We start from the raw sequence: 13,872 nt of genomic DNA, 5'->3' as shown, positions 1-13,872 counted from the left end.
GTGCTGGGATTATAGGCTTGAGCCACTGGGCCCGGCCTCCCAATAGGCAGTTATTTTTGTTTTTGTTTTTGCTTTTTGGTTTTTTTTTGAGATGGAGTCTCGCTCTGTCATCCAGGCTGGAGTGCAGTGGTAGGATCTTGGCTCACTGCAGCCTCCGCCTCCCAGGTTCCAGCTATTCTCTTGCCTTAGCCTCCCAGGTAGCTGGGATTACAGGCACGCTGCACTATGCACAGCTAATTTTTATATTATTAGAGACGGGGTTTCACCATGTTGGCCAGGCTGGTCTCAAACTCCTGACTTCAGGTGACCTGCCTGCCTCAGCCTCCCAAAATGCTAGGATTATAGATGTGAGCCACTGCACCCGGCCCCAATAGGTAGTTTTTTGATCCACACCTTCTTCTCACCCATCCCCCTCAAGTACACCCTAGTGTCTATTGTTCCCTCCTTTGTGTCTTCCAACATTGTTTTTTATACATGCCATTAATTTAAAAGTCACCAGAAATGCTAAAAGACAAGTCCAAATGACCAAAAACCAAGATGGGGGAAAAGACAACAGAAATAGTCTCCAACATTTATTAAGTGAAAAAAAGCAAGAGAAGAGTTTATATCATAAATTCTCATTTATTTAACCAAAGCATTTATGTATATGCCTAAATATAAATATCTTTGCAAAAATGCAAAAAATATGATACGTTTTTTGGCCTTATTGGATTTTTTTTATCATGTGGATGTATTACCTTTTAAAAAATCCCTTAAAATATCTTTTAAGGAAGAAAATCCTTTACTAGAGTCACACTCACCTTTTAATCATTTGGAAAAGCAGCTTCCTCTCTCTTTCTCACCTTGTTTCACTCTCTTAAAAATAAATCATCAGCCAAACTCAACCTCTTACTTAAGTGTACTTCAAAGAAACTTTAATAAATCAAAGGAAGAGAGACCAACAGTGGATCCAGATTTCAATGTAACTTTGCCAGATTTCTATGTAACTTTCCTTTTTATAAGCAGAGGTAATTCTCTTAGAGATTGATAAAGCTTCTGCAGGGGACAGGAGGTCAGGAATGGAGTGTTTACATTCTCTCCCCACTCAATCCTACCCTTGGGTGAGTGTCACTTAATCTGTCTGCAGCTTTTCATGCTCTCTAGCTGTTTCTGGTTTGGATAAATTTCTGGTCACCTCTTGCAGTGGATAAGTAAGGCTGAACACAGGTTGCGCTCCCTCCAAAAGAGCTAAGGGGTTAACTGTCACCCCACCAAACAACATGGACATAAAGCAGATGGTTTCAACATCATCTTTATCCACCAAAAAGAAATAGGACTTCCTTTGAGAAAATGTCACACCTTTGTCTAATGAAGACTGTGGGTGCCATAACTGGCCATGTTTCTCTCTTTGCCTTGGTGTATAGGAAGCTCAGACACGTATTTGCTTCCCATTTTGAAAATCTTAGTACAGCCCTTGTGGTACCTGCATCTGCATACTGATTTTCTGTGCTTCATCATCTTAGGCAATTCTCTTTGTCATTTAGACTTCATTTTGTTTTGTTCTTTTAATATTATATATTTTTGGAGCCATCTCAAATGCTTTTTAGAATGAAGTAAATTTTATCCATAAATGAAAACAGGAGCTGATCAACCATATTGACCTATTGATTTACAGAGTGGGAAGAAACTCAAACTTTATTTATTTATTTATAAAATCAGCAAATATTTATTGAGCACTTACTATACACCAGGCACTGTTCTGGCACCAAGGACATAGCAAATAATAAAACAAAAGCCTTTCCTGTATGGAATGTTCATGCTAGTGAGAGAATAGATAATAAGCATCTGAAAAGTAAATATATCCTATGAAGAAATAGGACTTCATTTGGCAAAATGTCATGTCCTTGCCTAATGAAGACTGTGGGTGTCATAACTGGCCATGTTTCTCTCTTTGCCTTGGCTTATAGGAAGCTCAGACATGTATTTGCTTCCCAAGTGCAGCCTTTGTGGTACCTGCATCTGCATACTGATGGTGATAATGCTAAGGAGAAAAATATAGCAAGTGGAGGAAGGGAAGTGATGAGGATGTGTGATATTTCTACACTATTTTCTATTCTATTTTCTATAGAGTGGTCAAGCCAGGCCTCTTCAATAAGGTGGCGTTATTGATGATGAGGAGGTTTTCATCTCTCTTTTTGTCTCCTCTCCCACTTGCCGTCATCCTCCTTTATACTACCCTGGTATTCTCTGAATGTGCACAATAAACTTCAATAACTGTTCTCCCCACGTCCTGCTTGTCCTGCTTCTTAAAGTCTATTCTGTCCTCCACACTGCAGCCAGAGGGATCTGATTAGGTCAAACCCCTGACAAAGTTCACTTTTCTTTTTTTTTCTTTTTTTTGAGACGGAGTCTTGCTCTGTCACCCAGGCTGGAGTGCAGTGGCATGATCTCTGCTAACTGTAAGCTCCGCCTCCTGGGTTCACACCATTCTCCTGCCTCAGCCTACCGAGTAGCTGGGACTATAGGAACCTGCCACCACGCCCGTCTAATTTTTTGTATTTTTAGCAGAGACGGGGTTTCACCGTGTTAGCCAGGATGGTCTCGATCTCCTGACCTCGTGATCTGCCCGCCTCAGCCTCCCAAAGTGCTTGGATTACAGGCGTAAGTCACCGTGCCTGGCCAATAAAGTTCACATTTTTAGCTTGGCACTTAAGGTCCTTTGAGATCTGGTCCTATCCTGCTCACTCAGAAAGCACTGTAATACTGGCATATTTGCCCTCCCCTAAACATGCTCCCAGTCTTCCCATCTCCATGTCTCTGTTCATGCCATTTCCTCTGTCACCCTTCAGGATCCAATTCAAACATCATCTCTTCTGGGAAGCCTTCCAGAGTGACACAAGCAAAATTAATCGGCCTTTTCTTGGAGGTCCTGTAACCGTCCAACAGGTTTACCTTGCTTGCTGCCTAGACAGAGCCAATTTAACAAGACAGGGGAATTGCAATAGAGAAAGAGCAATTCACACACAGCCAGCTGTGCGGGAGACTGGAGTTTTATTATTACTCAAATCAGTCTCCCTCAGCATTCGAGCATTCACAGATCAGAGTTTTTAAGAGTAATTTGGTCAAAGTGGGGGCAGCCAGTGAGTCAGGAGTGCTGATTGGTTGGGTCGGAAATGAACTCATAGGGAGCTGAAGCTGTCCTCTTGCACTGAGTCAGTCAGTTCCTGAGTGGGAGCCACAAGATCAGATGAGCCAGTTTATCGATCCGCATGGTGCCAGCTGATCCATCGAGTGCAGTGTCTGCAAAATATCTCAAGCACTGATCTTAGGTTTTAGAAAGTGATGTTATCCCCAGGAGCAATATGGGGAGGGTCAGAGTCTTGTAGCCTCCAGCTGCATGACTCCTAAACCATAATTTCTAATCTTTTGGCTAATTTGTTAGTCCTACAAAGGCAGTCTAGCCCCCAGGCAAGAAAGTGGTTTGTTTTGTTACCGTCTTTGTTCTAAACTATAAGGTATAAACTAAGTTCCTCCAGAGGTAGTTCAGCCTGCACCCAGGAATGAACAACAATGGCTTGGAAGTTGGAAACAAGATGGAGTTGGTTAGCTCAGATCTCTTTCAGTGTCTCAGTTGTAGTTTTGCAGTGGCAGTTAGAACCTTTTTCAGGTAATTATGACTGCACTAAAGACATCATCCAGTGGTCAGCTATATTTCTGCATGTGTGCGTATTTTCTCTCCAGGATTATGGCTTTCTGAAAGGTATTAGACGTAGCAGTTATTCAATAAATTATGACTACATTAATTAATTGTTAAAATTAATAACTTTGCAGCTCATGTGCATTATCTCTTTTCATCTTCATATTAACCACATGTAATAATGAAGGTACTTATTTTTTCTATTTGTCAGATGAGGAATCTGAGAGCCAAGACAGGCTAAGGGATTCGTGTCTGAATACACGGCAGAGCTCAGACTAGAAATTCTAATCCACTTGTTGGATCTCACATGCTGGTTCAGTTTAAGCAAAAACATTGTAAGGAGGTAGGGACTGCAAACCCCAAAAGAATTGCAAACATTGCTCCAAATAACAATGAAAAGTTCAAAGGTACTAGAATGACTCATCTAGACCGGACTTAAAAAGAAACCAAGAAACAAGGAAAGCAACCTATTGTAATGCGTACACTCAAACCAGAGTTGTCCTTCAGTAGAATTGCCTGGAGCCTATAACCCATGGCAAGTAAGCTAGGATGAGAAACTCTTGGATTATTGTGTTACAGGAGCAGGATCAAAGTCTTGTGAACTGGAGGCATATGACTGCCTCATAACAGGAGAGGACTAACTCTCCTAGTTCATTCAGGACTGAAGAGGTCCCGGGACACAGGACTTTTGGCAGAAAAACAGAAAAAGTCCTGGAAAACCGTAACAATTTGTTTACCTACATAGATGACTCTGTTGTTTCAGGAAAAGACGAATGCTCACCCTTGAGAAGTCTGCTTTAGAATTCCTTCTTTAGGGTTGTCTTCCAAGCCAGTTTATGATCCAGGCAAGAAATATCACTTACGTTAGTGGCACCTTGTTTTTGAATAAAAATGGCATTACCTCAAGGAAATCTGAATGACTTCCAAATATTTTCAAAAATTCATCCTCCAGGACAGGCACGGTGGCTCATGGCTGAAATCCCAGCACTTTGGGAGGCCGAGGCAGGCAGATCACCTGAGGTCAGGTGTTTGAGACCAACATGGTGAAACCTCATCTCTACTAAAAATACAAAAATTAGCCAGGCGTGGTGGTGTGCAACTGTAATTCCAGCTACTCAGGAGGCTGAGGCAGGAGAATCGCTTGAACCCGGGAGGCAGAGGTTGCAGTGAGCTGAGATCGCACCACTGCATTCCAGCCTGGGCAACAAGAAAGAGATTCTGTCTCAAAAAAAAAAAAAAAATTCATACTCTCATCAAAGGAAAATATTTTTTTCACCAATAAAGATATCTGAAAGAATGTGCCAAGAACCAGGAAGGCAATTCCCAAAAGACGTTGTACGGTGTTAAGAGTGTTAAAAGAAAAACTTCAGGAGAATTAAATTTAAAGGGGTCTAATTGAGCAATGAAAGATTCACGAATCAGGCAGCCCTCAGAATCACAGCAGATTCATAGAAACTCCTCCAGCAGAGCCATGTGGTGGAAGAAGATTTATAGACAAAAAGGGAAGTGAGGTACAGCAATCGGAAGTAAGGTAGAGGAACAACTGATTGGTTACATCTCGGTGTTTGCCTTATTTGAACACAGTTTGAACACTCAGCAGTGTATGAGTGGTTGAAATACGGCTGCTGGGATTGGCCAAGACTCAGCTATTGTTCCAGGCACATACTCCTAAGTTAAGTTTTCAATCTTGTCTACCTATTAAGTTAGGTTGTGGTTCCTCCACAGGGACTCAAATATAGAAGTTCGGTGTCCTTCTCAGGCCATCTTTAGTCTGCTTTAACAGAAGCATCCTACTCCTAAGGCTCTTAGGATATCAAAGTGGCTCTTCCAAATGGATCATATATTTGAATGCCCATATCTGGATTATCTGTTTTTGAAAATAAAAAATAATTAACTTTATTTTAATGACTTTTTATATCAATATTTAGTGGATATGAAAAGATCTGCGAGTTACACTGACATTAAAGCAATGAACAAAGATGGCAGGTGTCAGAGGCTCAGCCACTTTCCTGGTGTCCAATAAATGGCAATATTTTAATACGCATATACATCTCGATTTCTTTTACAATCCTTTTCTTTTAAGATTAGGAAAGATCAGAGCTCTCATTTGGGGCATCCACAGACAGGAAGAGCTGTGGCCAGATTCATTAATCATGACTGGTTTATCTGACCACAAACAAAACCAATTGTTAATGTGTTCTTACAAGTGAGGTAATCCATCTTGATGAAAGCCATGTGTCACAGGTAAATGAAAATGTTTGAGGCATTTGCATTTCCATTGGCTTGGCTCAGTTTCACAGATCTTGCATTTCAAAGCAGGAACTCAGATTTGGGTAACACTTTTATGTACTGAAACCTGTAATTAATGCCAGAGATCTTAAGTCAGTGAATAGCTGTCTTTCATTATATGAGTATAAAGGAGCTTTCGTGCATTGGAATACTAATTTACCTTCCCTGGTATTACTGTACGTAAGCCCCTGTCTGGTGTTTAGTTGTAAATGATACATGCAGTAATAGCAAGTCAAATAAATAAAGCACATGAGAAAAGCCACTATGAGGAGCCGCTGAAAAGACAAACCCTTGTGATTCACCTTCTAATTCTGAGAATATCTATTCATTGGGTGCTTACTGTGTGCCAGGCATGGTTCTGAGAGCTGCAGGTTTATTACTTCAACTACTCTCCCTAACAGTCTAATGAAGTAAGTTCTGTTTTTTATCTTTGAAATACAAAATTTTTAAAAATACAAAAATTAGCTGGGTGTGGTGGCAGGTGCCTATAATCCCAGCTACTCAGAGACTGAGGCACGAGAATCTCTTGAACCCGGGAGGCAGAGGTTGCAGTGAGCTGAGATCACGGCATTGCACTCCAGCCTGGGTGACAGAGTGAGACTCAGTCTCAAAAAAAAAACCATTGGGAATCAAAATTTGGTATTATTTGCCCTCCTAGTGAAGAAATACATCTTACAGGTTATTCTCTCTGATTCTATAAGGAAGCTAAAAAAAAAATGGATGTTATAGCTGTTTCTCACTTTCCTTGTTTTTTTCCAAAGCATTCCTTAGTTAGTCCATTAAGTGAGAAATCTGTCACATTTTTATTAGAAGAAAATGTGCAAAAGTGCGACTAAAGGGCCCTCACAGTAAAAAGACTTCCTGCAAGTGTACAGAGTTAAACTGGATACTCTGAGCCCTAGAGCTAATATGCATTTCCTTTTGAACCCAGGGTGGTGTTGGAGTGGGGGCGGATTGGGTGAGTGTCAGGGGAACCAGGTGCAAGCACCAGAGTGTAGATTCCCGGGTAAGGGTGTGTTTCTTCATTACAGTGAAAAGTATTCACTGATTCTTTTCCATTTTTAAAATAGATTTTATTTTATTTTATTTTACTTTTTAGAGACAAGGTCTTGCTCTGTGGCCCAGGCTGGAATGCAGTGGCACGATCATAGCTCACTATAGCCTCGAATTCCTAGGCAGAAGCCAACCTCCTGCCTCAGCCTCCGAAGTAGCTGGGACTACATGTGTGTGCCACCATACCCAGCTAATTCATTAAAATTTTTGTAGATATGGGGTGTTGCTATGTTGCCCAGGCTGGTCTCGAACTCTTTTTCTTCTTTTTTTTTTTTTTGAGACGGAGTCTCGCTCTGTCGCCCAGGCTGGAGTGCAGTGGCGCGATCTCGGCTCACTGCAAGCTCCGCCTCCCGGGTTCAGGCCATTCTCCTGCCTCAGCCTCCCGAGTAGCTGGGACTACGGGTGCCTGCAACCACGCCTGGCTAATTTTTTGTATTTTTAGTAGAGAAAGGGTTTCACCATGTTAGCCAGGACAGTCTCAATCTCCTGACCTCGTGATCCGCCCACCTTGGCCTCCCAAAGTGCTGGGATTACAGGCATGAGCCACCGCACCCAGCCTGGTCTCGAACTCTTGAGTTCAAGTGTTTCTACATTGCCCTCCCAAAGTGCTGGGATTACAGGTGTGAATCACTGCACCTGGCCAAGACTTAATTTTTTTTAGAGCAGTTTTCATTTCACAGCAAAATTGAGCAGAAAGTACAGAGATTTCCCAATTACTCCCCACAGCCCACATGTATAACCTCCCCCATTATCAACATTCCCCACCAGAGTGGTGCAATTTTTTTTTTTTTTTTTTTTGAGACGGAGTTTCACTCTTGTTGCCCAGGCTGGAGTGTAATGGCATGATCCTGACTCACCGCAACCTCCACCTCCTGGGTTCAAGAGATTCTCCTGCCTCAGCCTCCTGAGTAGCCAGGATTACAGGCATGTGCCACCACACCTGGCTAATTTGGTATTTTTAGTAGAGATGGGGTTTCTCCATGTTAGTCAGGCTGTCTCGAACTCCTGACCTCAGGTGATCAGCCCGCTTCAGCCTCCCAAAGTGCTGGGATTACAGGCATGAGCCACCGCGCCCAGGCTTGCATTAAATTTTTAACTGGGTATACATTCCTCTCAATTCTGTGCTTCTAGAATATAAACTCTGAATGTTAAGTGGTGAATTAGTGTACTCCATACTCAGCCAAAGCAAGCTTGTTACTGTTTCCAAATCGAGCAGCCCTGCCTTCCGGCTACCACCACTTTTCCTTTCCACATCCACAGGTTGAATAATCCTTTCCGGATTTTTTTTGGGCATTTGGCAAAATTTTCTCCATGCATGTTTCTCATGATTGGTAATAATAATAATAAGAGGCAACTTGAAAGAGCACTCACTGTGTTCCTTGTGCTAAGTTTTTTACAGATCTTGCCTCATTTAATTCCATAACAACCCAAAGAGGGCTGTTATATTCCCATCTTACAGCTGAGGAAACAGAGACCCAAAGAGGTGAGGAAACTTGCCCAAAGTTCCACAGCTGTTAAGTCCTAGAGTTGGGATGGGAAGCCAGGCCTGTCTGACTCGAAGCCCCTTAAGTCCTAAGAACTCTTCTTAAAGGAATGCTTTTTCTTTTGAATCCCAAAGACTTTGAAAGGAAGTACTTCCTATTCATATGAATGAATACATTGTCATTCATTCCCAGCGCTCAAGCTAGGACACAGTTTGATAAACCTAGGTTAGAGTTCCCCATGGTTGTGTCTAAAAGATCTTAAATTCTGCCTGATTCATAGTCTCTGCTTAAGTGCTGTAGTATATCATGCCTCTTTACAAATGTTGAAAATGCTCAGGTTGATTTAAAATACCTGCTATGGACTGAATTGTGTCTCCTACAAAATTAATACGTTGAAGCCCTAACTCCCAGTGTAGTTGTATTTGGAATAAGGAGCAATTAAGGTTAAATGAAGGCATATGGGTAGAGCCCTTTCTTACAGGAGTAGTGTTTTTGTAGGCAAAGACATCAGAAAGTGTGCTCTCTCTGTCTGTCTATCTGTCTGTCTGTCTCTCTCTCTCTCTCTTGCTCTTTCTCTGTCTGTCTTTGCCATGTAAGGACACAGCAAGAAGGTGGCCATCTATAAGCCAAAAAGAAAGCCTTCACCAGGAACTGAATTGGCAGGCACTTTGATCTTGGACTTCTCATTCCCTAGAACTGTAAGAAATGAATTTTTACTGTTTAAGCCACCCAGTCTGCAGTATTTTGTTATGGTAGCCCAAGCAGGTTAAGATAATACCCACTTTTTTTCTCAGTTCATTCCTCTAAAAATGCTATGTCCCCAGTCCTGATATATGAGCTTCCTACATTTACAGCAAAGATCTTCTGAGACAATCTTAGAAACAGTGCAGAGAAACATCACCATTTTACATGACACAAACTAAGCATAAATCTGGCTAACTGGTCCCCTTGTTAACAGAATTGAGCCCATTCAACTGTCTCTTTATACTCAATGGGTGCTGAATATATTTTCATTTATTGTCTGCCTTCTTCTGCCTCTGAGACAGGTAAATGGTGTTGAGAGGCATGAGGGCTTCAGTTAATTTCTCCCTCACTCTATAGAATGGATTACCACTATATTTCAGCTTAAATGCTTGCTCAGGCTAGAAATACTAACATTAAAAGAATATTTTGGTTTGACAATGTGAACTTCATTTTGTTTCATCACAGCTAAGTTTTTTTAAATGTTTATTTTTGAATAGTGTTGTGGGTTGAAGTGCATCCCCCCAAAATTCATATTCACTCAGAACCTCAGAATGTGACTTTATGTGGAAATAGGGTCTTTGCGAGTGTAGTTAGTTAAGGACTTCCAGACTAAATCATCTTGGATTTAGGGTGGGCTCTAAATCCAATGAGTGATGAGCTTATAAGAGGAAAGGACACAGGAACACAGAACAGAGGGGAAGATGAGATGGAGCCAGAGACTGGGATGACACATCTACAAGCCAAGGAATGCCAGGAGCCACCAAAAGCTGTCATAGTCAGGGAAGGATTCTTCCCTAAAGTTTTCAGGGAGAACAGGCCCCTGCCAGTGCCTCACCTCCAGAACACTGATGGAATAAATTGGGTTATTTTAAGACAGAGTTTATGGTAGTTTGTTATGGCACTGCTACTGTAGGTAATATAGGCACATGGTTAAATTATACATAAAGGTAGACAGTGAAAAGTCTGACTGTCCCCCATCTACCTGGCACTCACCCTATGCCCCCTACACCCCTAAGAAACCAGTATTATTAGTTTCTTGGGTATCTTTCTAGAATTTTATATATATATATATATAAAATTAAACATATGAATATATATACACACACAGTCAAATGTGAATATATATTCTTTTTTTGGCTTATTTTTATGGAGCATTAGCCTAGATATGGTCTATGACATCATTTAAAATTTTTTAACTTTTTTTTTTAACTTCTTATTTAGTTTCAAGGGTACATGTACAGGGTTGTTATACAGGTAATTGCGTGCCACGGTGGTATGTTGTACAGATTTTTTTGTCACCCAGGTAATAAGCATAGTATCTAATAGGTAGTTTTTTGATCCACCCCCCCCCCACCCCCTCCACCCTTAAGTAGGCACCAGCGTCTGTTGTTCCCTTCTTTGTGTCCATGTGTACTCAATGTTTAGCTCCCACTTATAATTGAGAACATGTGGTATTTGGTTTTCTGCTCTTGTGTTAGTTGGCTAGTCTGCTAAGGATAATGGCCTCCTGCTCCATTCATGTTCCTGCAAAAGACATGATCTTGTTCTTTTTTACGGCTGCTTAGTAGTCCATGGTGTATATGTACCACATTTTCTTTATCCAGTCCACTGTTGATGGGCATTTAGGTTGATTTCATGGCTTTGCTACTGTGAATAGCACTGTGGTGAACATGTATGTGCATATGTCTTTATGGTAGAATGATCTGTATTCCTTTGGGTATACACCCAATAATGGAATTGCTGGTTTGAATGGTAGTTCTAAGTTCTTTGAGAAATTGCCAAACTGCCTTCCATAGCGGCTGAACTAATTTACATTCCCACTAGCAGTGTTTAAGCATTCCCTCTTCTCTGCAACCTTGCCAGCATCTGTTATTTTTTGACTTCATAATAATAGCGATTCTCAGCCTGCCCAACATGGTGAAACTCTGTCTCTACTAAAAATACAAAAATGAGCCAGGCGTGGTGACAGGTGCTGGAATCCCAGCTACTGGGGAGGCTAAGGCAGGACAATTGCTTGAATCCAGCAGGTGGAGGTTGCAGTGAGCCAAGATCACACCACTGCACTCCAGTCTGGGCGACAGAGCGAGACTCCATCTCAAAAGAAAAATAATAATAATAATAGCCATTCTGTCTGGTGTCAGATGGCATCTCACTGTAGTTTTTATTTGAATTTCTCTCAGGATTAGTGATGTTGAGCATATTTTCATATGCTTGTTGGCTGTGTGTATGTCTTCTTTTGAAGAGTGTCTGTTCATATATTTTGCCCATTTTTTAATGGGGTTGTTTTTTTTTTTTTTTTTTGCTTGTTAATTTGTTTAAGTTCCTTATAGATTCTGGATACTAGACCTTTGTCAGGTGCATAGCTTGCAAACATTTTCTCTTATTCTGTAGATTGTTTACCCTGTTGATAGTTTGTTTTGCTGTGCAAAAGCTCTTTAGTTTAATTAGGTCCCATTTGTCAATTTTTGTTTTGGTTGCAATTGCTTTTGGCATCTTCATCATGAAACCTTTGCCAGGGCCTATGTCCAGAATGGTATTTCCTAGGTTTTCTTCAAAGGTTGTTATAGTTTTACATTTTACATTTAAGTCTTTAATCCATCTTGAGTTGCTTTCTGTATATCGTGTAAGGAAGGGGCCCAATTTCAATCTTCTGCATGTGGCTAGCCAGTTATCTCAGCACCATTTATTGAATAGTGAGTCCTTTCCCCATTGCTTGTATTTGTCAACGCTGTCAAAGATCAGATGATTGTAGGTGTGTGGCTTTATTTCTGGGCTCTCTATTCTGTTCCATTGGTCTATGTATCTGCTTTTGTTCCACTACCATGCTGTTTTGGTTATTGTAGCCTTGTTGTAGAGTTTGAAGTTGGGCAATGTGATGCCTCCAGCTATGTTCTTTCTGCATAGGATTACTTTGGCTGTTCAGGCTCCGTTTTTGGTTCCGTATGAAATTTAGAATAGTTTTTTCTAATTCTGAGAAATATGTCATTGGTAGTTTGATAGAAATAGCATTGAATCTGTAAATTGCCTTGGGCAGTATAGCCATTTTAACAATATTGATTCTTCCTATCCATAAGCATGGAATGTTTTTCCATTTGTTTGCGTGTGTGTGTGTGTGTGTGTGTGTGTATACACATACACAATCAAATGTAAATATATATTCTTTTTTTTTTTTTTGAGACAGTGTCTTGCTCTTGTCACCCAGGTTGGAGTGCAGTGACATGATCTTGGTGCACTGCAATATCCACCTCTAGGGTTCAAGCAATTCTCCTGCCTCAGCCTCTTGAATAGCTGGGATTACAAGCACCCAACACCATGCCCAGCTAATTTTTGTATTTTTAGTACAAACAGGGTGTCACCATGTTGGCCAGGCTGGTCTTGAACTCCCGAACTCAGGTGATCCGCCCACCTCGGCCTCCCAAAGTGCTGGGATTGCAGGCACGAGCCACCACGCTGGGCAAATATATATTCTTATTTCTCCCATTTTCTTACCCAAAAGTTAGCCTTTTCTGAAACATTCTTCCCTACTTTGTTTTTTCACTTAGTAATATATTTTAGAATTTTTTCCAAATTATTACATAGTGTCCTCATTCTTTTTTTCAGCCACATAACATTTAATTGTATGAGTAAACCATCATTTATTTAGCAATATTCTAATTGACAATTTTGTTGTTTCCAATATTTTGAAGCTTAAACAGTGCCACAGTGAATGACTTTGTGTGCACATTTTTGTACACATACACAAGTATCTGCAGATAAATTCCCCAGGGGTAGAAGTGGTGAGTCAAGCAAAAGCATCATATTCCCACATGGCCCCACAGGATGGATGCTGTTTAGCCATCCAAAAGCAATGTGTTAGAGCATGTGTCTCCCCACAGCTTCACCAACAGAGTGTGTTACCAAATTTGTGACATCCTGCCAATCTCAGAGATAAAAATGTTAGCTCAATGTCATTTTAGTTTATTTTTCTTATTATGAGTAAAGTTGGGCATATTTCCATCAATTTAAGAACCGTTTATACTTCCTTTGCTTTATTTTTCTTTTTTTATTCTTTTGAGATGGAGTTTCATTCTTGTTGCCCCAGGCTGGCGTGCAATGGCACGATCTCAGCTCACTGCAACATCCGCCTCCCAGGTTCAAGCGATTCTTGTGCTTCAGCCTCCCAAGTAGCTGGGATTACAGGCGCCCACCACCACACCCGGCTAATTTCTTGCATGTTTAGTAGAGACGGGGTTTCACCATGTTGGCTAGGCTGGTCTTGAACTCCTCACCTCAGGTGATCTGCCCGCCTCAGTCTCCTAAAGTGCTGGGATTACAGGCGTGAGTCATCACGCTGGGCCCTTCCTTTGCTTTAAACTACCTGTTTATTTGTTCACTTACTTACTTATTTAACTTATTTTTGCTCATTGAAAAAAAAAATCACACAAAACCTATATTAGTTTCTAACAAAAAGGCATGAATTATAGGAATAGCAAAAGACTCATAGAGAAATTAAAATTTATCTGAAAGCCATCTTTAGTCAGGAAGACTTCTTCACAGACAAATAAGTAGTTAAATATATAAATCCTAAATATATCACACCATAAGCTATTTTTTTCTTCCTCTTTGGTTATGAGCTATTCCAGGGAG

At 40.9% G+C, this 13,872-nt stretch overlaps 3 annotated features.

Moving 5' to 3' along the window:
- Nucleotides 5,341–6,190: an enhancer, noted in NCBI's record as "NANOG-H3K27ac hESC enhancer chr4:25485929-25486778 (GRCh37/hg19 assembly coordinates)". NCBI's record gives its function as "activates a minimal SCP1, AML or CMV promoter by ChIP-STARR-seq in naive H9 embryonic stem cells {active_cell/tissue: H9 hESC(naive)}" and the evidence as "EXISTENCE:reporter gene assay evidence [ECO:0000049][PMID:30033119]".
- Nucleotides 8,308–9,009: an enhancer, noted in NCBI's record as "OCT4-NANOG-H3K27ac hESC enhancer chr4:25483110-25483811 (GRCh37/hg19 assembly coordinates)". NCBI's record gives its function as "activates a minimal SCP1, AML or CMV promoter by ChIP-STARR-seq in naive H9 embryonic stem cells {active_cell/tissue: H9 hESC(naive)}" and the evidence as "EXISTENCE:reporter gene assay evidence [ECO:0000049][PMID:30033119]".
- Nucleotides 9,010–9,712: an enhancer, noted in NCBI's record as "NANOG-H3K27ac hESC enhancer chr4:25482407-25483109 (GRCh37/hg19 assembly coordinates)". NCBI's record gives its function as "activates a minimal SCP1, AML or CMV promoter by ChIP-STARR-seq in naive H9 embryonic stem cells {active_cell/tissue: H9 hESC(naive)}" and the evidence as "EXISTENCE:reporter gene assay evidence [ECO:0000049][PMID:30033119]".

Source organism: Homo sapiens, chromosome 4, assembly GCF_000001405.40.
Source record: "Homo sapiens chromosome 4, GRCh38.p14 Primary Assembly".
NCBI classification, from domain to species: Eukaryota; Metazoa; Chordata; class Mammalia; order Primates; family Hominidae; genus Homo; species Homo sapiens.
Note: the sequence above shows the minus strand (reverse complement) of the source record. Positions and strands in the feature narration are given on the sequence as shown.